At 43.4% G+C, this 22,576-nt stretch overlaps 2 protein-coding genes and 1 pseudogene across 6 annotated transcripts in view, besides 12 other annotated features; 1 reads left to right on the forward strand and 2 right to left on the reverse strand.

Annotated features, from left to right (window-relative positions):
• Window positions 1-19,708, reverse strand: part of CSNK1A1 (casein kinase 1 alpha 1) — a 58,458-nt gene extending 38,750 nt beyond the window's left edge. For 3 of the 4 annotated variants that reach the window (NM_001271741.2, NM_001892.6, NM_001025105.3), the window contains exons 1-2: window positions 19,111-19,708; window positions 18,344-18,450 (exon numbers count right to left, since the gene is read on the reverse strand). In NM_001271741.2, the coding sequence (NP_001258670.1) occupies window positions 18,344-18,450; window positions 19,111-19,233 (230 nt within the window). In that variant the 5' untranslated portion in view covers window positions 19,234-19,708. Of the gene's footprint in view, window positions 1-18,343; window positions 18,635-19,110 lie in introns of those variants that run through there. The other variant, NM_001271742.2, reaches the window with a different exon arrangement.
• Window positions 9,242-9,445: a silencer, noted in NCBI's record as "fragment chr5:148920536-148920739 (GRCh37/hg19 assembly coordinates)". NCBI's record gives its function as "represses an EF-1alpha promoter that drives an FKBP-Casp9 reporter gene in an ReSE screen in K562 erythroleukemia cells {active_cell/tissue: K562}" and the evidence as "EXISTENCE:reporter gene assay evidence [ECO:0000049][PMID:32094911]".
• Window positions 13,162-14,071: an enhancer, noted in NCBI's record as "H3K27ac-H3K4me1 hESC enhancer chr5:148924456-148925365 (GRCh37/hg19 assembly coordinates)". NCBI's record gives its function as "activates a minimal SCP1, AML or CMV promoter by ChIP-STARR-seq in naive H9 embryonic stem cells {active_cell/tissue: H9 hESC(naive)}" and the evidence as "EXISTENCE:reporter gene assay evidence [ECO:0000049][PMID:30033119]".
• Window positions 13,539-14,113, reverse strand: RPL29P14 (ribosomal protein L29 pseudogene 14; annotated as a pseudogene).
• Window positions 16,301-16,836: an enhancer, noted in NCBI's record as "H3K27ac-H3K4me1 hESC enhancer chr5:148927595-148928130 (GRCh37/hg19 assembly coordinates)". NCBI's record gives its function as "activates a minimal SCP1, AML or CMV promoter by ChIP-STARR-seq in naive H9 embryonic stem cells {active_cell/tissue: H9 hESC(naive)}" and the evidence as "EXISTENCE:reporter gene assay evidence [ECO:0000049][PMID:30033119]".
• Window positions 17,770-18,969: an enhancer, noted in NCBI's record as "MED14-independent group 3 enhancer chr5:148929064-148930263 (GRCh37/hg19 assembly coordinates)". NCBI's record gives its function as "activates an origin of replication core promoter dependent on BRD2, BRD4, P300/CBP and CDK7 cofactors, and independent of MED14, by STARR-seq in HCT116 cells {active_cell/tissue: HCT116}" and the evidence as "EXISTENCE:reporter gene assay evidence [ECO:0000049][PMID:35650434]".
• Window positions 17,837-17,976: an enhancer, noted in NCBI's record as "active region_23372". NCBI's record gives its function as "activates an Ori minimal core promoter by ATAC-STARR-seq in GM12878 lymphoblastoid cells {active_cell/tissue: GM12878}" and the evidence as "EXISTENCE:reporter gene assay evidence [ECO:0000049][PMID:35858748]".
• Window positions 17,997-18,216: an enhancer, noted in NCBI's record as "active region_23373". NCBI's record gives its function as "activates an Ori minimal core promoter by ATAC-STARR-seq in GM12878 lymphoblastoid cells {active_cell/tissue: GM12878}" and the evidence as "EXISTENCE:reporter gene assay evidence [ECO:0000049][PMID:35858748]".
• Window positions 19,216-19,275: an enhancer, noted in NCBI's record as "active region_23374". NCBI's record gives its function as "activates an Ori minimal core promoter by ATAC-STARR-seq in GM12878 lymphoblastoid cells {active_cell/tissue: GM12878}" and the evidence as "EXISTENCE:reporter gene assay evidence [ECO:0000049][PMID:35858748]".
• Window positions 19,406-19,465: an enhancer, noted in NCBI's record as "active region_23375". NCBI's record gives its function as "activates an Ori minimal core promoter by ATAC-STARR-seq in GM12878 lymphoblastoid cells {active_cell/tissue: GM12878}" and the evidence as "EXISTENCE:reporter gene assay evidence [ECO:0000049][PMID:35858748]".
• Window positions 19,496-20,165: an enhancer, noted in NCBI's record as "active region_23376". NCBI's record gives its function as "activates an Ori minimal core promoter by ATAC-STARR-seq in GM12878 lymphoblastoid cells {active_cell/tissue: GM12878}" and the evidence as "EXISTENCE:reporter gene assay evidence [ECO:0000049][PMID:35858748]".
• Window positions 19,496-20,658: a biological region, named in NCBI's record as "H3K27ac hESC enhancer GRCh37_chr5:148931159-148931952".
• Window positions 19,865-20,658: an enhancer, noted in NCBI's record as "H3K27ac hESC enhancer chr5:148931159-148931952 (GRCh37/hg19 assembly coordinates)". NCBI's record gives its function as "activates a minimal SCP1, AML or CMV promoter by ChIP-STARR-seq in naive H9 embryonic stem cells {active_cell/tissue: H9 hESC(naive)}" and the evidence as "EXISTENCE:reporter gene assay evidence [ECO:0000049][PMID:30033119]".
• The window catches only part of ARHGEF37 (Rho guanine nucleotide exchange factor 37), an 83,344-nt gene continuing 80,661 nt past the window's right edge, over window positions 19,894-22,576 (forward strand). For both annotated transcript variants that reach the window (XM_011537642.4, XM_047417170.1), the window contains exon 1: window positions 19,894-20,392. In XM_011537642.4, the coding sequence (XP_011535944.1) occupies window positions 20,371-20,392 (22 nt within the window). In that variant the 5' untranslated portion in view covers window positions 19,894-20,370. The remainder of the gene's footprint in view (window positions 20,393-22,576) is intronic.
• Window positions 20,216-20,285: an enhancer, noted in NCBI's record as "active region_23377". NCBI's record gives its function as "activates an Ori minimal core promoter by ATAC-STARR-seq in GM12878 lymphoblastoid cells {active_cell/tissue: GM12878}" and the evidence as "EXISTENCE:reporter gene assay evidence [ECO:0000049][PMID:35858748]".

A 22,576-nucleotide genomic window follows, 5' to 3' on the forward strand; every position in this document is an offset into this window, starting at 1 on the left:
ATGGTGGTGGGGACCTGTAATCCCAGCTACTCAGGAGGCAGACGCTGCAGTGGGCCGAGCTTATGCCACTGCACTCAAGCCTGGGTGACAGCAAGACTCCATCTCAAAAAAAAAAAAAAGGAATTTGGGATATAGTAATATACATACTCTCCTTATTATTATTATTTTTTGAGACAGGATCTCACTGTGTCGCCCAGGCTGGAGTGCAATGGTGTGATCTTGGTTCACTACAGTCTCTGCCTCCCAGGTTCAAGAGATTCTCATGCCTCATCCACCTGTTGGGATTACAGGCATATGCGACCACTCCTGGCTGATTTTTGTATTTTTAGTAGAGACAGGGTTTCACCATGTTGGCCAGGCTGATTTTGAACTCCTGGCCTCACGTGATCCGCCTGCCTTGGCCTCCTAAAATGTTGGGATTACTGGTGTGAGCCACAGTGCCCAGCCCTACACTCTGCTTATTAATGCATTAAATATAGGAGCAGGTCTAATAAATGCTATAATTTTGATGTAGTAATGAGTGTAAACTATATTTTAAGATACCTGCAACAATAATGTGATATAAAATACCTGTGATTTCAGCCGGGCGGAGTGGCTCATGCTGAGATCATACTGTTGCACTCCAGCCTGGGCCACAGAGTGAGACTTAGTCTAAAAAAAAAAAAAATCTGCGATTTCTAGCTGGGTGCAGTGGCTCACACCTGCAATTCTAGCACTTTGGGAGGTCGAGGCAGATGGATCACCTGAGGTCAGGAGTTTGAGACCACTCTGGCCAACATGGTGAAACCCCATCTCTACTAAATATGCAAATATCAGCCGGGCGTGGCGTTGGGCGCCTGTAATCCCAGCTACTCAGGAGGCTAAGGAGAATCACTTGAACCTGGGAGGCAGGAGATGCAGTGAGCCAAGATCACGCCATTGCACTCCAGCCTGGCGGTAAGAGCAAAACTCCATCTACCCCCCACAAAAATCAGTGATTTCTATTGGTGACAAAGTCAAAGGTTCTGCTAAAACTCATGAGGTTTCCTACTTACACTTAAAATCAAAAAGAAATACTAGATTTGAGTGAGAAGCTCATGAAAATAAAAATGTAATTTTCCTTACCTGTCTAAATACATAGATCTCATGGGGGGTGGATATGGTTATGAACCAGGTTAAGAGCCCCTGTTCCAAACCAACTTTTGAGATAAATAGCCTGTAGAATAAGATCTAATATTTGAAAATCATGTATGTTTTGCTCAGCAATAACGTAGTCAACTAAGATGATTTGTTTTCCCTCTTCTTGCTGCCTTGTTACTACTAATCCTTTGCTTACAACATTACCCCCAAGATCCTTGAATTACCGTACATTTTCATATTCTCCACCTTTGTTCCTTGCCCTTTGCCTTCAAAGATATGTAGATGTTCCTTAACTCCAAAAATTATAAAAACAAACAAAAAAAACTTTACCACTGTTCATTATCAAAGTTACTATTCATTTATCCATTCAATATTTAGAGTAGCTAACAAGACAAAACAAAATAATTGCTGCTTTCGTGGCTTATAGTGGGGAAGGGTGATAAACACCATGATGAAGGAGAGAAGAGTGCTATTGTGGGGGCACAAATTATGGGGATCTGATCTTTTTTTTTAAGGGAGGCATCAGGGAAAGTTTCTCTGAGGAAGTAAGGTTGATTCTCAAAGGACAGATGGCAGAGACCCAGGTTAAGGGGTGGATTGGCACCAGGCTGAAGTCTGGTGCTCACAAGAAACTAAGTGACAGCATAGGTTGGTATAGTGTGTAAGATCACCTTATTTTCTTCTTCAGGTAATTTTTTGAAAACCTGGTTTATATTTGCATCTTACTCTCATTTTTTCTTGGTTCCCAGTAACATAGTTATTTTCCCCGTAATACCCAAAGTGTTATTTCAAAGATCACAAATAATTGAGCGGGGACGTAGTTGCAAAAAAAAAAAAAATCACAAATGACCTAACTTTTGTCAGCTCTTGTCATCACTGCTCCAACATTGATAGTGGTGGTATTGAGGGACAGCATGTGGAGAACTGGAAGGTCCAGGGAGATACAAATGTTAAAATACACTTTTTCATTGGGAAGTGGAAAATGTACTTATAGTCTTCATAACACAAATTACAAAAGCTTGATCAAATGTTTTCTAATAGGCAAATATATAAAAGCAGATTAGTAGTTGCCTAGGGCTGACGGGAAATGGAGTGACTGACAATGGGTTCAAGATTTATTTTTGGCATGAGGAAAATATTCTAAATTTGAATTATGGTAATGGTTGTACAACTTTGTACATATACTAAGAAACAAACTGTACAGCTTAAATAGGTTAACCTTTATGTGGGTAAATTATATCAATAAAGCTGATGAAGAACTGGTAGATGACAAGTGTAATATAAAGGCAACCATAAATACAAAATACAGGAATAAGCAATTTACTTAGAAGATAAAAAAGAAGGCTTCTGGCCAGGCGCGGTGGCTCACACCTGTAATCCCAGCACCTTGGGAGGCCAAGGCAGGCGAATCACAAGGTCAAGAGAGATCGAGACCATCCTGGCCAACATGGTGAAACCCCGTCTCTACTAAAAACACAAAAATTAGCTGGGCGTGGTGGCGCACGCCTGTAGTCCCAGCTACTCTCGGGAGGCTGAGGCAGAAGAATTGCTTGAACCCGGGAGGCGGGGGTTGCAGTGAGCTGAGATGGCGCCATTGCACTCCAGCCTGGCGACAGAGCGAGACTCTGTCTCAAAAAAAAAAAAAAAAAAAAAAAAAAGAAGGCTTCCTAAAAATGTTAGCACCTGGGCTAAATTTTGAAAGATGCCTGGATTATTGTATTAGCTTCTTAAATATTCTCCTAGTTCCAGTTACCCCTCTATGGTTTTACTGTGTCATTTCTCTGTTATAAAAACTAAAGGAGCCATGCGATAGCTCACACCTGTAATCCCAACACTTTGGGAGGTCAAGATGGGAGGATCACTTGAGCTCAGGTGGTTCGAGATTAGCCTAGGCCAACAAAGACCCCGGTCTCTCTATGAAAAATAAAAAATTAGCCAGGCGTGGTGGCATGCGCCTGTACTCCCCAGGAAGCTGAGGCAGGAGGATCACTTGAGCCTCGGCTGTTGAGGCTAGCCACTGTACTCCATCCTGGGTGACACTGAGACCTTGTCTCCCAAAAAAAAAAAAAAAAAAGCCCCTTACCTACTAAAAAAGCAAGAGTTTCATATATCAAAAAATTCCTAAATATGGCCTCTGCTTATCCTTTCAATTCTATATACTTAACTCCCTCTTCGGATTATCCTCAGACCCAATCATTGAGTCAAGTTACTTTACTGAGCACCTGTTGGGTACTGAGCTCTAACACAGCCAAACCCCAAACGCTTTAAGTCTCATTTCTTTCCTACTTCTTGGATACACATTACCTCTTCCTAAAAACTTACTTTCTTTATTCAACAGCCCATTATCCTGACTCTCCTCCTGCTTTATTAATTCCGAATTTCCACCAAGGGGATGAGTCCTCACCTCTCAATTTACTTTCTCCACTATCACTTACATGCTGATCTTGCTTAGATCTAACCCCAATCCCAGTTCCCTGGCCTAGGCTCAGTTCTGTATTTGCTGCTAACTTTACTACACAAGAGTAAAACACAATATGCCATTCACCTTAATTTCAACATGTCCAAAGCCATTACCACCCACCATACTTGTAAAATACTAAAATTGGGCCCCCTTCCTAACTCCCTAATTCAAACCTCAAATTCTTAAGGCTCAAGTGACTTACCTCCACTCCTTAAAAAGGGATAACATGTACATTAAAAAGTTTCAGAAAGAAAAAAAGAAATCAAACACACTCCTATAAAATATCTCCTAATACACTATTAAGAGACCAAATGGCTTTCTTTTTGTTTGTTTCTTTGTTTTTGTTTTGAAATGGAGTCTCACTGTTGCCCAGACTGGAATGCACTGGCACAATCTCGGCTCACTGCAACCTCTCTGCCTCCCAGATTCAAGCGATTCTCCTGCCTCAGCCTCCTGAGTAGCTGGGATTACAGGCACATGCTGCCACACTCAGCTAATTTTTCTGTGTGTTTTGAGTAGAGACAGGGTTTTGCCATGTTGGGGGGACTGGTCTCAAACTCCTGACCTCAAGTGATCCACCCGCCTCAGCCTCCCAACGTGCTGAGATTACAGGGGTGAGCTACCACACCCAGCCACCAAATGGCTTTCTTTCTTTTTTTGAGACAGAGTTTTGCTCTCGTTGCCCAGGCTGGAATACAATGGCATGATCTCAGCTCACCACAATCTCTGCCTTCTGGGTTCAAGTGATTCTCCTGCCTCAGCCTCCTGAGTAGCTGGTATCACAGGCACGCGCCACCACGCCTGACTAATTTTGTATTTTTAGTAGATATGGGGTTTCTCCATGTTGGTCAGGCTGGTCTGGAACAACCAACCTCAGGTGATTCGCCCACCTCGGCCTCCCAAAGTGCTAGGATTACAGGAGTGAGCCACCGTGCCCAGCCTCAAATGGTTTTCTTTAGGGTAATTTTTGCACTATAAGTTAGCACTTGTATTACAGACAATGTTTCTGTATGAAGATACTAAGAGAACAAATAACTGGATGAAGGGAACACTTCCCCCTACTTTGCATTAATTAATTTGCTTAGAAAATCCTCTTTAAATGGATAGAGCTAAGTATTCTAGATAAGAAACTGTAGACAAAAACGATACAAAAAGGCAAAATTAAATTATCTTCATTAGTGGAGAAAATGAATACAAAAAGAAAACAATGAACATTCCAAAGTTTGATATGTTTGTTTTACGTAGCAAATACAGAAGAAAGGACACAATGCCTGGGCTGCAAACATACAGCAAAGGGGAAAAGGAAAATGGAAGAAGCAACACAAGCTACCAGAAAGGAATGATACAACCTCAAAGAAAGAAAAGATGGCTATTCAAATACATGAATAGCTATCAAGTCTGTGCAACCCTGAATAATACAGCACTAAGTAATATTCATAAAAGTAAGTCCTTCAGTGACCAGACCATTAAAAAGTAGTCCAGTAAATCTGCAGTTAGGTTTAAGAATGGGAAGCTGGCTAAGTTGACAGTATATGTAACATAGTACCAAGAATACTGGACCAGCAGCCAGAAACATAGGTTCTAGTCCTGGCTTGTTATTTTCTTGCTCTGTGACTCTGTGTAAGTGATTTCTGCTCACTGGTCAAAGATTCTTAATATAACCCTATTTATTTATCAAAAGGTGTTGTGGTAATTATGAGAGTTTATGTAAAAGCACTTGATAAATTACAAAGCATTACATAAATAAGGGATTATTATTCTTATTACAAAAAGCAGTCGCCTGGCCAGGTGCAGTGGCTCACACCTGTAATCCCAGTACTTTGGGAGGCTGAGGCAGGTGGATCACTTGAGGTCAGGAGTTTGAGACCAGCCTGGCCAACATGGTGAAACCCCATCTCTACTAAAAATACAAAAATTAGCCGGGTGCAGTAGTGGGCGCCTGTAATCCCAGCTACTCAGGGAGCTGAGGCAGGAGAATCGCTTGAACCCAGGAGGCAGAGGTTGCAGTGAGCCGAGATCGTGCCACTGTACTCCAGCCTGAGCGACAGAGTGAGACTCCATCTCTAGTGAAAAACAAACAAAAAACAGTTGACCAACAATGATAAAATGCCAACAACCAAGACAATACCATTTCCTACAACAGCCATAGCACTCAGCAAAATTCACTAACTACCCTCAACAGCTTGATACAATGGAGTGCCAAAACCTCAGCACAGAATTTCTCAGTGTGGTTCTCTGGTCTTTAGTAGAAATTCCTTGTGGTAATTACATTAAAAACAAACAAAACAAAACAAAGAAAAAAAATAACTCTTGGTCCCCACTCCAGAATTGGTCAAACAAAAATCTGATGGTAGAGCAGTGTAACCTGAATTTTTTACAAACTCTATAAGTGGTAATTATTTATACACAGCTGAGGTTGGAAAAATGCTGACTTAGAAGGATACACATGAATAGTCTTAACGGGGTCCTACTGTTGCAATTAACTAAGGCAATCTCTAAATGTTTCAGGGTACTGTTTGGGGCTCATCTCAATATGCTACCCTCTTAAGTAAACATTTATGTCCTCACATAGTTTGAGATTTAGACATCCTTCCTAATTTTCAGCAGGAGACAAATTCACAATTACATGCCAGGCTCACAGCAGATGCTCAAAAAGAATGCAAGCCTCACAAAATCATTGTCTGTTCAATGAAGTGTGCCCAGTTTTTTTTTTTTTTTTTTTTTTTTTGAGACGGAGTTTCGCTCTTGTTGCCCGGGCTGGAGTGCAATGGCGCGATCCTGGCTCACTGCAACCTCCGCCTCCCAGGTTCAAGCGATTCTCCTGCCTCAGCCTCCCTAGTAGCTGGGATTACAGGCATGTGCCACCACGCCCAGCTAATTTTGTATTTTTAGTAGAGACGGGGTTTCTCCATGTTGGTCAGGCTGGTCTCGAACTCCCGACCTCAGGTGATCCGCCCGCCTCGGCCACCCAATGTGCTGGGATTACAGGCATGAGCCACCGCGCCCGGCTGTCCAGTTTCTTAAACTGTGACTGGCACAGGGTAGGTACCCTCAGGTGAATGTCAACTGAATGAAAGAAATGGTTGTTCTCTTCAACGTACTGTACAAGGTGTTGTATGTTAAATTCACCAAGAGAGTCTCAAACTATCAGAGCTCTCGTTTGAAGAATAGAAGCTAACAACACTCACTTCTCTAAGAGGGATAAAAAATAATATTATGGAGGTTCAAAAATGGGAACACTAGGATTTCTGTAAGTACAGCTTGGTGGTAATAATTTCAATCAAGGGCAAACAGCCAAACACAAAACCAAACTCAACCTAACAGTGAATGGCTGGGCACAGCGGCTCACATCTGTAATCCCAGCACTTTGGGAGGCCAAGGCAGCTGGATCACTTGAGACCAGGAGTTCGAGACCAGCCTGGCCAACAAGGAGAAACCCCGTCTCTACTAAAAATACAAAATTAGCCGAGTGTGATGGCGCATGCCTGTAATCCCAGCTACTCAGGAGGCTGAGGCAGGAGGATCACTTGAACCCAGGAGGCGGATGTTGCGGTGAGCCGAGATTGTGCCATTGCACTCCAGCTTGGGCAACAAGAGCGAAACTCCGTCTCAAAAAAAAAAAAAGAAAAAGAAAAAATTAAATGTATATAGATATATAATAAAAGTAGAATTTCATTATTGTACTTGGCACAATAAGAAACACAAGATACCTCTATGAGTAAGACAGTTCTCTCCTTCAAGGAGTTTCTAGAATGCATTATTGTAGGAATGCATCTGAAACATGTGAAGAGGTAAATGGTTTCATACATCGATTTTAGACACTTTCCAGAAATCAAAGCATTTGATTACATGGGATTATATGTACTTTCTGGTACTTTCCAGTATCATGATGCCTATTACAGGATTTCCTGAATTAATTCTAAGAGGAAATATATAAATTAAGAACACAGCCTTACAGCCTGAGCAACACAGTGAGACTCTATTTCTAAAAAATAAAAATAAAAATTAGCCAAGTATGGTGGTGTATGCCTGTAGTCTCAGCTACTTAGAAGGCTGAGATAGGAGGATCACTGGAGCCCAGGAGTTCAAGGCTGCAGTAAGCTATGATTGAGCCACTATACTCCAGGCCTAGGCGGCCGAGCAAGAACCCAACTCTTAAAAAAAAAAAAAAGAAAGAAAAGAGTATAGCCTTATTAGGTTGTAATTCTAGGAAAAGATGGGGGTTGATGGGGGTGAGTAGCAAAGCAAAAATTATTGTTATTAATTATTAATATACTATATTTTGGGGATTAATAACAATTATTAATTGTTACATATCAGAATCACCTGGGGAGCTTTTAAAAATCATGATACCTACGTCATATCCCAATTTAATTAAATCAAAATACTTGCAGTTAGGGATTAGTTGTCTTTTTTTTTTAACTTTGCCATTTGATTCCATTTGCAGCAAAATTTGAGAACCACTGGTAGAGCTGAAAGATGCAGTAGGACCTGTACAAATCACACATCAGCTGTGTGACTTTAGGCAAATTAACCACTTTGACTCACATACTTTATAAGAAACACCAACTTACAAGATTGGTGTAATGATTAAATGAGACCGTATGCAATGCCTGGATAATATTGGACTCTTTTTGTTGCATGCAGAGGGAAAAAAGAATGTTTAGCCACACTGAATTCAACCAATTATTCCCTTATTTCAAAAGTACTTATCAACATTACAAATAAATAAAAGGCAATTATACCTTAAAATTAGAACAAATCATTACATCAGAGAACAAGAGGCATCTTTTGTCCTACTGATTCCATCAATATATACTACACATTAAAAAACCCTTAAGACCTTGTTGGGCTTTCGAAAACCCTTTTACAAGTAAGAACTGACTTTACAAATTATAGAATTCATTCTATTAATAGGTTCAAATCTAGATGGCATCACAGGCAGAACCCTGACTCATAATACAATGCTCTTTCCATTTCCCTTTATGTTGAGGATTGAAATGTACTCTCTTCAGCTAAACCGTTTTGTGTAGCACTTCCAAAATCCCCATTAAAGGGCCATAACATACCCCACTGCTCACACCGACAAGAAAAAGGCAGTATTTTAGTTCTTCAAAGGAGAGCAAGGTAAAGATCTCAATTATCACTGAATACCATATTTACTACCATCACCTGCAACACAACCACCATCTGATAATTTTGTCAGATAAATCCTATAATGTACCTCATGGTGATAAACAGACTATTAATCTATAGTAAAACCAACACCAAAATAATGCTTAACTGGGGACTGGGGAGAAAAATAAGGCTTAGCTGTAATCCAAAAGACAGACTTAAAAAATAAATAAATAAAATAAAACTAACACTGTCACAGAATAGAACTTACCAAGGATGAGCAATGTGTGCATACAAAAAAAAAATCAAATAGTCCTTATCTCAACAGAGATGTAGGTTACACCAACATATGCATTTGTCAAAACTGATCCGGCAGGGTATGGTGGCTCACACCTGTAATCCCAGCACTTTGGGAGGTCGAGATGGGCGGATCACAAAGTCAGGAGTCCAAGACCAGCCTGGCCAATACGGTGAAACCCCATTTCTACAAAAATACAAAAAAAATTAGCCGGGTATGGTGGCGGGCACCTGTAGTCCCAGCTACTCCAGAGGCTGAGCAAGGAGAATCACTTGAACCCAGGAGGCGGAGGTTGCAGTGAGCCAAGATTGCGCCACTGCACTCTGGCCTGGGCAACAGAGCAAGACTGCATCTCAAAAAATAAAATTAAAAATAAAAATCCCACTAAAACATGCATTAGTTTATGCTATGTTAATACTGGTCAACCAATTTTGTTTTTTTTTTTTGAGATGGAGTCTCCATCTGTCACCCAGGCCAGAGTGCAGTGGCGTGATCTCAGCTCACTGCAACCTCCGTCTCCTGGGATCAAGCAATTCTCCTGTCTCAGCCTCCCGAGTAGCTGGGATTGCAGGCACCTGCCACCATGGCCAGCTAATTTTTGTATTTTTAGTAGAGACAGGATTTCACCATGTTGGCCAGGCTGGTGTCAAACTCCTGATTTCAAGTGATCCGCCCGCCTTGGCCTCCCAAAGTGCTGGGATTACAGGTGTGGCATGAGCTACCACACCCGGCCAGTCAACCAAAATTTTAAGAGCCATCTGAGATTGAAATTAGAAACAAAAACAGTAACACAATAAAGCATCATTTTACCTGTGTGCATACACTGAACACCAAGTTAAATGATGAAAGTTATGAAGACACTCATTCTTGACAGCAAAAATCCCTGGTGAACAGTGACAGATCATGAGAAAACCAAGACTTAATGATATTTTAGGTACAGCTTAAATATACTTTAAAACAAAATGATCTAGCCAGGTGCGGTGGCTCACGCCTGTAATCCCAGCACTTTGGGAGGCCGAGGCAGGTGGATCACTTGAGGTCAGGAGTTCGAGACCAGCCTGACCAATATGGTGAAACCTCATCTCTACTAAAAAAAATTAGCCAGGCATGGTGGTATATGCCTGTAGTCCTAGCTACTCAGGAGGCTGAGGCAGGAGAATCACTTGAACCTGGGAAGTGGAGGTTGCAGTGAGTCAAGATCACGCCATTGCATCCCAGCCTGGGCAACAGAGAAAGACTGCATCTCAAAAAAAAAAAAAAAAAAAAAAAAAGATCTAGGTCCAGAAATGACTAAAGCCAAGGATCCTTGATCCCTGGGCCACTGACCGGTATCCAGTATAGAAGCGAAGTGAAGCTTCATCTGTATTTACAGCCACTCCCCAAAGCTGGCATTACCGCCTGAGCTCAGCCTCCTGTCAGATCAACAGAATTAGATTCTCATAGGAACGCAAACCCTGCTGTGAACTGCACATCAGAGGGATCTAGGTTGTGCATTCCTTATGAGAATCTAATGCCTGACGATCTGTTACTGTCTCCCATGACCCCCAGATGGAAGCAGGTAGTTGCAGGAAAGCAAGCCCAGGGCTCCCATTGATTCTACATCAAGGTGAGTTGTATAATTATTTCATTATATGTTACAATGTAATAATAATAGAAATAAAGTGCACAATAAATGTAATGCACTTGAATCATCTCAAAATCATTCCCACCCCCACCCCACCCCCTACTTGCTCCAGTCTGTGGAAAAACTGTCTTCCACGAAACCTGTCCCTGGTGCCAAAAAGGCTGGGGACCACTGACTAAAGCCAAGGAATAACCCACATACTTTACATGGGTTCAAGCATTTACTCCGAAATGAGATACAAATTTATATATATATATATATATATATATATATATATATATATATATATATGTATATATATATATATATATATATATATATATGTATATATATATATATATATATTTTTTTTTTTTTTTTTTTTTGAGACAGAGGCTCGCTCTGTCACCCAGGCTGGAGTGCAGTGGCATGATCTCAGCTCACTGCAACCTCTGCCTCCCGGGCTCAAGCAATTCTCCTGACTCAGCCTCCCAAGTAGCTGGGACTACAGGCACACACCACCATGCTTGGCTAATTTTTGTATTTCAGTAGAGATGGGGTTTCACCATGTTGGCCAGCCTGGTTTCGAACTCCTGACCTCAGGTGATCCGCCCGTCTTGGCCTCCCAAAGTGCTGGGATTACAGGTGTGAACCACTGCGCCTGGCCACAAATTAATAATTTCCAGCAAGTTTTTATCCTGCAATCCACAGATTCAAAAGGGAGAATAAGAACACCCTGAATCGTAAGCATCTAATTAAATACAAATAGGTTACTTATATTTATGTAAGAGCTCTTCAGCTTGTCTATGAGGCAAAATGCCAACAAGTGAAGAAGTACAGGATGGCTCTCCAGTATCAAATGAAACGATGTGGAGTGTGTGAGAGGGCATGATTTGACCTTGACATAAGGGTGATAATGATTCTCAGAAGAACTGGAAGTTAGGACACTCCAGTAACTCCCCTGAGATTCAACAGTCTAATTTGTATTAGTAGGAATAGGGCTATATACATCTCTAACATTTTGTCCAGCTTAAAATGCTACCTAGCATTATTACATTATCTCATAAGCCAGTATAAAGCAGCTCTAGTATACCATGAATTCAGTTTCCCTTCAAGTTAAAAAGCACATTTCTCGTGATCTGTGACGTACGTTTTTCTGGTTTTTTTTTTTTAGTCCAAGCTAAGCATGGACACTGTAATATATCTTAATGAAGACATATCCAATGCAGCGTCATCTTTATTCTCTGATAACAGCCATTATGTTATTCACAGGATATATGCTCAGTGCCAAAGATAAGATTAAGCTGCTTTTAAAAGTGAAGAGTAAGGATTAACTAGTGCTTTATAAATACGTTCTAAAACATTTGACCTTCAGACACAGAGGGCAAAAATAGTGATTAAAACACACTAGGCAGCTGGGAGAGGTGGTATTCATCTGCAGTCCTAGCTACTCAGGAGGCTAAGAGGCAGGAGGATCATTTGAGTCCAGGAGTTTGAGGCTGTAGTGTGCTATTATCATACTTCTGAATAGCCACTGCACTCCGCCCGGGTGACAGAGCAAGAACCTGCCGCTAAAAATAAAAATAATAAAAGATGAAAGAAAAATAGGAAAAACAAGAAAGGAAGGCAAGTAGTAGACACAATATCAAACTGCTGGAATGCTTTTTTTCTAGCTACTATCCTTTGAAAATAGGTCTTAAAATTCCAGGACTAAAAGTCCTTAGGATCAATGAGGCCAGTGACACTTTTAAGTAGGGAACCCTTGTTCAAACAAAACCCTACCCAAAAGCTCAGTATGCAAAGGCAAATGGAAATGAGTATTTAGCTGGCAAAAGAAGGGTAGGCAGCCCTAAATCTTTCTATTCAGCACTCTCCTTCCCATTAGAACAATCCTTTTTTTATGTTCTAAATGAGGAAACAGATGGGCTTACACACATTAAGGAACTGACTGACTGTAGATGACCCAGTCAATATCACATGGCAGATCTACAGCTCAAACCTCCAAAACCTATCTAGATAAAGAATTTTTCGGTATGTCATAGTTGTTTCTTGGGTCATTGCACGGTGGCTGATGCCTATAATCCCAGCGCTTTGGGAGGCTGAGGCAGGAGAAGTACTTGAGCTCAGGAATGCAAGACCAGTCTGGGCAATATAGCAAGAGCCCATCTATATAAAAAAAATTTAAAAAAATTTTTAAATTGTTCCTTTGGAGAACTTAATTCAATTTAGAATGGAACACACAAAAAAAGGTTTTAACAGAAACTCAATACAGCTGACCCTTGAACAAAAGGGGCTTGAAATGCACAGGTCCACTTGTACACAGGTTTTTTTCTGCCTCTGCTACCCAAACAAGATCAACCCCTCTTCTTCCTCCTCAGCCCAAAGTGAGGATGATGAGGGTAAAGAGCTTTATATATATATATATATATATATATATAGTTATTGACCAATCATGTTATTGGTGAAGCTTCCAGTGAACAGTAGGCTAGTAGTAGTTAAGCTTTTGGGGAGTCAAGTTATACTTGGGGCCAGGTGCAGTGGTCCATGCCTGTAATCCCAGCACTTTGGCGGGCCGAGGTGGGTGGATCATCTGAGGTCAGGAGTTTGAGACTAGCCTGGCCATCACTGTGAAACCCCGTCTCTACTAAAAATACAAAAATTAGCTGGGTGTGGCGGCGCGCCTGTAATCCCATGAACCTGGGAGGCAGAGGTTGCAGTGAGCCAAGATCACACCATTGCACTCCAGCCTGGGTGACAGAGCAAGACTCCATCTCAAAAAAAAAAAAAAAGTTACACTTGGATTCCTGACTGTGGGGCACAGTGGGAGTGGGCTGGGGTTCAGTGCCCCTAACCCCAGCACTGTTCAAGGGTCAACTGTAATTTTAAGTGAGCTCTCACATATTAATTGACAAGGTCCAAGAATTTTCTTTCTTTTTTTTTCCCCTGCCTCAGGTTTATTTGTACTAATAGCACAGGAGGACCCCAGCCCCATAAAGACGGCAGCCCAGGGGGGTTGCATCAGTCCTTCTGTCCTCACGTTGGCAGACAGAGATACCTACTCCGAAGCCTTTGTAGGGGCCTGAGAGCCTTTGGGAGGAGCCTGAGCTGGAACTGAAGCTGGAGCTGCAGCCTGGGCCTTGGTTGATCCTTGGCCTTTGGCCCACACAGTCTGAGCCCCTTGGCAATGCGGACACAAGCACACTTCCCAAGCTTGGGGTGGACAATGTAGGCAAGTCAATCGAGTTCGCAGCTGACACCCTTTGGGATCTTGGGCTTAACCTCCTTGGGCTTTACGAGGGCCCTGCTAGCCTCAGCAAGTGCACTCATTGCCTTGGCATTGTTGGCCTGCATCTTCTTTAGGCCCTTCTTGTGCTTCTTGGCAAAGTGCATGTTCCTCAGGAACCTGGAGCCCACCATTTCTGTGCCATTTTCAGGACTGGTTGTGTGTGGTGTGGTTCGTGGACTTGGCCATGTCTGTACCTTAAGCCGCGGCTCTCCAAGTGCCTAGAACCGGAAGCTTCATTTCTTAAAATATCAAGAAAATGGATGCCATTCTCTTATCCTTGCTTTTTTTTTTTTGATACGGAGCCTCATTCTGTCGCCCAGGCTGGAGTGCAGTGGCACGATCTTGGCTCACTGCAACCTCCGCCTCCCATGTTCAAGCAATTCTCCTGCCTCAGCCTCCTGAGTAGCTGGCACTACAGGCGCACGCCACCACACCAGGCTAATTTTTTTTTTTTTTGTATTTTAGTAGAGACAGGGTTTCACCTGTCTCTACTACCCAGGCTGGTCTCCAACTCCTGGGCTCAGGCAATCTGCCCACCTCGGCCTCCCAAAGTGCTGGGATTACAGGCGTGAGCCATGGCGCCCGGCTTATCCTTGCTCTTTACTCAGGATGCTATGCTTCTTAACAATAGGTCTCTCAAATTACACAGGAAGGACCTGATTCAGCAGGTCATCTACGCAGGCCAGGTAATTTTCAGTCTCTGTTGTAAGATATACCAAAGTATCTTAAAGAAAATCCTGGCTGGGTGCGGTGGCTCATGCCTGTAATCCAAGCACTTTGAGAGGCCGAGGCGAGCAGATCACGAGGTCAAGAGATGGAGACCATCCTGGCCAAAATGGTAAAGCCCCATCTCTATTAAAAATACAAAAATTAGCTGGGCGTGGCAGCACGTGCCTGTAGTCCCAGCTACTCAGGAGGCTAAGGCAGGAGAATTGCTTGAACCCAGGAGGTGGAGGCTGCAGTGAGCCAAGACTGTACCACTGCACTCCAGCCTGGTAACAGAGTGAGACTCCATGTCAAAAAAAAAAAAAGCAAATCCTATAGGGAATTTTGTAACAGAAAACATAGGGAAGGGATTGAACAAATTTGTATATGAAGGATAAAGGCAGCAAAATCTAAATTTTTTAAATTAGTGACAATACTTCTAAAACAATAGATAACACATAACTTTTATCTAGCTAACACTAAATAGTCAACTTAATTCAATACTTTCCGAGTAAATATTTATTAAGTATGTACCATGTATAGGTGATACAGAAATAGTGGGGAACAAACTGAGGGGGATGGGAAGATGCTGCTACCCAAATAAAGAATGTTTACATAAATCTTTATCCTTTTTGCTTCAGTGGAAACAGTTTTTTTTTTACATTTCACTTTAAAACCAATGAACCACTTTTGTTTCCATGTACCTGACCCTACCACTCCTAAAGCAAATTTACCCTTTCCACACTCTCATCCAATTACTGTGTTCTCCTTTAGAGACTACACCCAGAAGCCACACTCTATTCTTGGATGCCTTACCAAACCAGTTCACCAAGCTTTCTTCCTTAGAGCCAGATCCTGAAATCCCATCTCTCAGGAAGCCTTAACTTGAAAGTCAGGTTAATCTGTTTAGCCTCACCCACAGACAGCTTATAACTACCATAACTCTCTCTGCACTCACCACCTTATAATAGGCACCTATTACTATAATTCTGCTCAGAAGTTAATTTATTCATGTGCTTATTCAGTACATTACTCATTGCCCTTATGGGTCTGTATCAGGTCTTAAATAAAAGCTACCAGATAAAAGGACATGTACTGTACTTGGGTTTAGCACTGAAAAATGACAATGCTTAATGCTTTTTGAAACTGATTTCAAATACATTAAATTTAACCTGATTTGTGAAATTTATAAAATCTCCCAACATAGATGAATCTCAAAAACATTATGTTAAGTGAAAAGTGCCAGACACAAATGACCTCATATCGTATGATTCCATTTATATGAAATTCTAGGAAAAACTATAGTAATGGAAAGCAAATCAGGGGTGAGGGGCCTTATTTTCCCACATAGTAGGTTTTTTTTTTAAAGGCAAGAATGATTTAAAAACTTCAAATCTATATCATCTCAGATTTAATCTTCACCTCATAAGATAAATTTGCAACTTTCTTCCAAATGATTTACTTGCTCATTTACAACCAATAGCACATTTTATCACTCAATTCTCCATTAAAACTGTAAATCAGCATTGGAACTTTGTTTTTTTTTTTGTTGTGTTTTTTTGTGTTTTTTTGAGATGGCGTCTCGCTCTGTCACCAGGCTGGAGTGCAGTGGCGCCATCTCAGCTTACTGCAACCTCCGACTCCCGGGTTCAAGCTATTCTCCTGCTTCAGCCTCCCGAGTAGCTGGGATTACAGGCACGTGCCACCATGCTCAGCTAATTTTTGTATTTTTAGTAGAGACGAGGTTTCACCACGTTGGCCAGGCTGGTGTTGAACTCCTGACTTAAAGTAACCTGCCTGCCTTGGCCTCCCAAAGTGCTTGGATTACAGGCGTGAGCCACCACGCCTGGCTGGAACTCTTTTTAAGGACAGTTTTATTTGAGTTGTTTCCATGTAAAGACTATGCAACCCAGTCCTTAATTCAAGACATGAAAAATACAAACTGGAATAGAAAAAGGGGCTAACAGGCTGGGCCCGGTGGCTCACGCCTATAATCCCAGCACTTTGGGAGGCTGAGGCAGGTGGATCACCTGAGGTCAGGAGGTGGAGACCAGCCTGGCCAACACGGCAAAACCTCAGCTCTACTAAAAATACAAAAATTAGCCAGGCGTAGTAGTGCAGCTCTGCAATTCCAGCTACTTGGGAGGCTGAGGCAGGAGGATCACTTGAACCTGGGAGGCGGAGGCTGCAGTTAGCCAAGGTTGCGCCACTGCACTCTAGCCTGGGCAACAGAGTAAGGCTCCGTTTCAAAAGAAAAAAAAGCCGGGCACAGTGGCTCATGCCTGTAATCCCAGCACTTTGGGAGGCCGAGGCAGGCAGATCACCTGAGGTCAGGAGTTCGAGCCCAGCCTGGCCAACGTGGTGAAACTAAAATACAAAAATTAGCTAGGCGTGGTGGCGGGCGCCTGTAATCCCAGCTACTCAGGAGGCTGAGGCACGAGAATCACTTGAACCCGGGAGGCAGAGGTTGCAGTGAGCCAAGATCGTGCCATTCATTGCACTCCAGCCTGGACCACAAGAGCGAAAACTCCGTCTTAAAGAAGAGGCTCCAGTAAACAGTAAGTACCATTCTTACCTATTCTGAATAATTTTGCAAATGTTATTTTAGATTATTGCTGGAAAATAGCTGGGCTTTAAACTATATTTTAGTCTCCATTCCATGAAGAGGATCTTTAATCCCAAAAGTTAAAACATTAAAACCCTCCAAAGTAAAGTTAACCATTTGACAGAACAATGTCTATCTCGTCATCTTTTATCCTCGTTACTGCTATTTGCACTCACCAATATTCCACACCAACAAAGGCCCCAATTTCTCTGATGTGAAGATTTACTGACAAACTCAACAGGTTAAAATTACTTATCAAAGTGTGGCTAAGTGATTAAGATTTTTTTAAATACAACTGATATGAGTAAATTTTAACATAGTTGGTGCTGCTCAAACTGCCTTTGCCACTACCTATACAAATTTAGTCCCGACTGAAACGTGCCAAATATGACCATTCACGAAAAGAAAGAGTAATTAACACTTTTAAAAGAACTACGAAGGATTTTACATAGTGTAATTCAACAATTTCGTGTCACATCTGCTGCAGAGATCACAAACACTGTCACTATGCCATCTCCTTCCTCGAACCTCCACACCGCCTCCTGCAGCTTTATTCTTGGCTTTTCAAAGGTTTAATCCACTCGGGGCTGCTAAAGGAGGAATCAAGGAAGCATAATTTGTGAACTCAAGCTGAGAAAAGGGCAGGAATATGGGGTTGAGTCACGTCGTTCCGCCATTTTCTAAGCGGAGGAGGAAGACATGTTGGAACAAAAACACAACAAAAGAGCAGCCATTTCCCAAGCCAGCTCCAATAGCAACTCGAACTGACACTGCCGGGTCGCTTCGGCACCTTCAAATCCACTTCACTGGACAAACCTAAGTACATCAGAAGTGCCGCCGTAAAAAAGGCAGCAGCCAACCCTTCCGCGTAGGGATCAAAGATGACCTGCACGCATAACTGCAAATGAAAGCCTCGGGAAGAGTGAGAATGACGGAAGCGAAATGGAGCAGTGTAATACAATGAAATAAGTTGGCAAACTGAAATTTACTCAGTAATTGAGATGACTGACTTACAGGAAACCACCAGCTATAGGGAACCCAGGTAACTAAAACACCAAGACCCGGATTCAGCTGGTCTCATTACCTGCCTCTACCCACTTCCCCATTCCGTGCTTCCCTCAGCGGATCGCCTATATGCACCGGGTTCTTACCGTATGTGGGGGATGCCAACCCCACCTTGAAGAATCTTATAGAGCTTGCTCTCGTACAGCAACTGGGGATGCCTGGCCTTCTGAGATTCTAGCTTCACTGCCACTTCCTGCAGGGGAAAGAGGGGATGATGGCATCAACATCCCTACGGATTCAATGTCACTTAGGAAAGGAGGGAGACATTAGCAAAACTCCAAGTCGCGACTACAAGAAGAAGTGAAAAGCTGGAAAGAGAAAGCTCTCGGTAATTATAAAACGAGGCAACCAGCCTCAAAGGCCTCTTCAGGGGGTAGTGACGAAATCCGTACGTCCTCTAAAGTGCAGGAAAATGATTCATCCAGAAAAAAGAGGCAACCTCTGAACGTAGTGAGAGGTTTTTAAGGAACTAGGCGATCGGAAACTGTTCTAATTGGAACAAGAGGCCCAGTAGAATTAAGAATTAAAAAAAAAAAAACATGGGAATCACTGAAAGAGGATTTTGCCGTTTCCACCTTAAAAGACGGTTAAAAAAAAAAAAAGCTCGACTAAGGGACATTTATGGGACGTGTTTAACAAGGTGGGAAACTAGTTCCCCCAACCTTTCTATCGGGTTCTTGACCCTTTTAGGGAGACAGCGGACGAGGTTCGTAAGCCAGGAAAACTAGCTCCCTGGACTCCCTGGCGAGTGCGTGCGATGAGGAGAGGCCCGAGCACTTTGGGGGTGCACGGTGGTGGTGGGGGGAATGAGTAAAAGCGCAGCGTTATCGTGAACCCCACCCCAGATGATTACCTCGCCGTTGGTGATGTTGATCGCCAAATAGATGTCCCCGAAGGAGCCAGACCCGATCTTCCGTACCAGTTTATATTTCCCTCCGACAATGAATTCAGCCTTGGAGCCGCTGCTACTCGCCATCCTGAGAGACGAAGATGGAGGCTGGGGCCAAGCCCCGACACCTCTGGGAAGAGGACGGAGGCCTCGGGGCTCCTACACTAGGCAAGGCTACGGAGGAGGGCGGCAGGAAACGGAACACGGAGGCCTTTACCGGGGTTCGGGGCCCAGAATCAGCAGAGGGGAACCTGATCACCGCCGCTCAGTCAGGTTTCTTTTTGCCAGGCCGCAGTTTGTGAAGGGCTTCTCGGCGGTTACCAGGCTGGGCCACTTGTTTCTCGGCGGCCGCCGCTGCCTCGCTTGCGCGGCGACGTCGCGGGCTGGAAAAGGGGCGCGGTGAGCTAGGGCGGCGATACCGCTGCCACCACTGCCGCCGGCTCCGGCCCAGAGGGACCCCTGTCACTCCGCGGACGACGCCATCTTGTTACTCCAGCTCCAGCCAACACAAAATGCCCCCAGTCCCCGGGAGCCGCTTCTTCACGGCGCAGAGCACTCTGGGAAAGGGATCTCGGGCGCTCGCTCCGAAGGATCGGCAGCGAGAGGGCGGAACCGGATCCGTGAGAGTCGCGGCCCACGCTCCGAGCGTCACCCTGTCACCGCCCAGCTGCGCATGAGCGCTGCAACTCCTGCTGACTGCGCAGGCGTGCCGCGGCCTGTCCTCACCCCCGTCCCGGGCTCTCTTCCACTTCCGGTCGGCGGCGGCTCAGCAGGTGTTACCTGTTACTCGCCTCGGACCCGCCGGGTCTCTGGAAGGCTGAGTGGCCCCCCGGCCTTGATATTGGGAGGAGTCACCTTCATGTTTCGTGGCAGATGAAAGCTTAAGGCCTCCTTAGGAGTTGGGTATTGACCTGTGCTCTTTGAGGCGGTTTTTAACCTTTGATCTTTCTTCTGGCCGTTCCCCCGGACCGGCCTATTCCAACCCAGTTTCTGTTTGGAAAGAGGCTGTCGCCTCTGGTGGAGAGGAAGAGAAAAGCAGCCAGCGTCGAGGAATCTCTCAGGGCTCTCGGTTGTAGCAGAGCCTAGCTAATTACCCTTCATAATTAGAATTGTCCTATCTACTACGGAGTGTTATAGACCCTCTTTCCACAGGAGGGGAAGAAAGAAAGAAGCCGGAATCCCCCTGCCATCCTATGTCTTTGCATTATTGCCTCACTACCACATATGATCTTCAGAAGAAAACCTGGTATGTTGCTCATAATGAAGATTAAGGATAGATGGAATCAACAGAAAATTAATTTAACAAGAGTGAAAAAACTGTTATGTCCCCTCAACCCCACCAAAAAAAAAAAAAAAAAAAAAAAAAAGAATCGTATGTTGGTCTTGTTGAAAACCTCAGTATTAACCTGAACAGAGTAGAGGTAACTATTACAAAATTTAATTGACAACATTTAAAACTACACGGTAATTTTTTTCTTTTTTACAAAAAATCGATCAGAGAATCAAATTTTGACCACGTTTTGTTTTACAAAATTTGACCTGGGAAAATTGGGCTTAGTAATAATAATGTTCACGAAAGAAAACTCCATGGTTGATGCTATCATCTTAAGTCAGACCTCAGTCGTAAAAATTTAAGCTAAGCCTATCCTAAATAAAATTTAATTAAAATAGAAATGGGGGGCGGGCGCAGTGGCTCACGCCTGTAATCCCAGCACTTCGGGAGGCCGGGGCGGGCAGATCACTTGAGGTCAGTTGTTCGAGACCAGCCTGGCCAACATGATGAAACCCCGTATCTACTAAAAATACAAAAATTAGCCGGGTGTGATGGCGCACACTTGTAACCCCAGCTATTCGGGAGTCTGAGAATCGCTTGAACCCGGGAGGCGGAGGTTGCGGTGAGACTAGATCACGCCACTGTACTCCAGCCTGGGCAACAGAGAGACCCTGTCTCAAAAAAAAAATAATTAATTAAATAGAAATGGGAGAAAAATGTGAAGAATTTTAACTGCAACTTTGAAAGGTGGTCAAGTAATTAGTAATAGGGTTCATCTCGGAAGACAACTGAAGAGAGAGGGGAGGAGACTTCCCCTGAAGTTTAGCATGAAGTTTTTAAAGCCCAACCAACACTCAGGGTGCCCAACTCCCAAATCAGCACTGTTAGACATCATTCTCCTTTGGTGACTCTAAAGCATGTTTTGACTAAGTTAAAATCTGCTGTTAAATTCTGATATAAAATGCAGCCGGGCATGGTGGGCTCACACCTGTAATCCCAGCACTTTGGGAGGCCGAGGCGGCTGGATCACCTGAGGTCGGGAGTTCGAGACCATTCTGGCCAACGTGGTGAAACCCTGTCTCTACTAAAAATACAAAACTTAGCTGGGCATGGTAGCATGTGCCTTGTAGCTCCAGCTACTAGGGAGGCTGAGGCAGGAGAATCGCTTGAACCTGGGAGGCAGAGGTTACAGTGAGCCGAGATCGTGCCACTGCACTCCAGCCTGGAGACAGAGCGAGACTCCACTCCATCTAAAAAATTAATTAATTAATCAATTCTGGTCTTAAAAAAAAAAAAGCCAAGTTTAAGCATCTTGAGTTTTCCAGAGATCACTCCTTTTCTGCTAATTTTCTCACACACATCCAAAGTTTAATGGATTCCTCAGCTTGAGGAGTTCTCCATAAGGGGATGAGGTATACATTTAGACGGATATTTTGGTATTGTGATAAAAATGCTCAATGAAGCCGGGGGCAGGGTAAGGGTGGGCATGAAGTGGTCTAAATTAGTGATTCCCAAAGATCTGTGTATGGACAGGTGCAAGTGGCTAACAAAGTTTGCCATGAGGATGTGAGAAAAGTAAGCAATACATCTTTCATTTATTTATCTGATTTCACATTATATTTCATTCTGAGATTTAGTCTTTTCACATATGTGTCATTAAAATGCTCTTTTATAAAAAGGTGCCGATGGTAGATGGTTTTGGTTTTTAAAATATTCTTGCTCGGTTAAAAGTTGAGCCCGGGTGCAGTGGCTCACACCTGTAATCCTAGCACTTTGGGAGGCCAAGGAAGGGCAATCACCTGAGGTCAGGAGTTCGAGACCATCCTGGCCAACATGGTGAAACCCTGTCTCTACTAAAAACACAAAAATTAGCCGGGCGTGGTGGCGCATGCCTGTAATCCCAGCTACTTGGGAGGCTGAGGCATGAGAATCGCTTGAACTGGGGAGGTAGAGATTGCAGTGAGCCGAGATTGTGCCACTGCACTCCGGCCTGGGCAAGAGAGTGAGACTTTGTCTCAAAAAAAAAGTTGAAAGCTGCGTACGGTGGCTCATGCATGTAATCCCAACACTTTGGGAGGCCAAGGCAGGAGGATCATTTGACTCCAGGAGTTCCAGGCTGCTGTGAGCTATGATCAAACCACAGCATTCCAGCCTGAG

Source organism: Homo sapiens, chromosome 5 (genome assembly GCF_000001405.40).
Source record: "Homo sapiens chromosome 5, GRCh38.p14 Primary Assembly".
Classification (NCBI taxonomy): domain Eukaryota; kingdom Metazoa; phylum Chordata; class Mammalia; order Primates; family Hominidae; genus Homo; species Homo sapiens.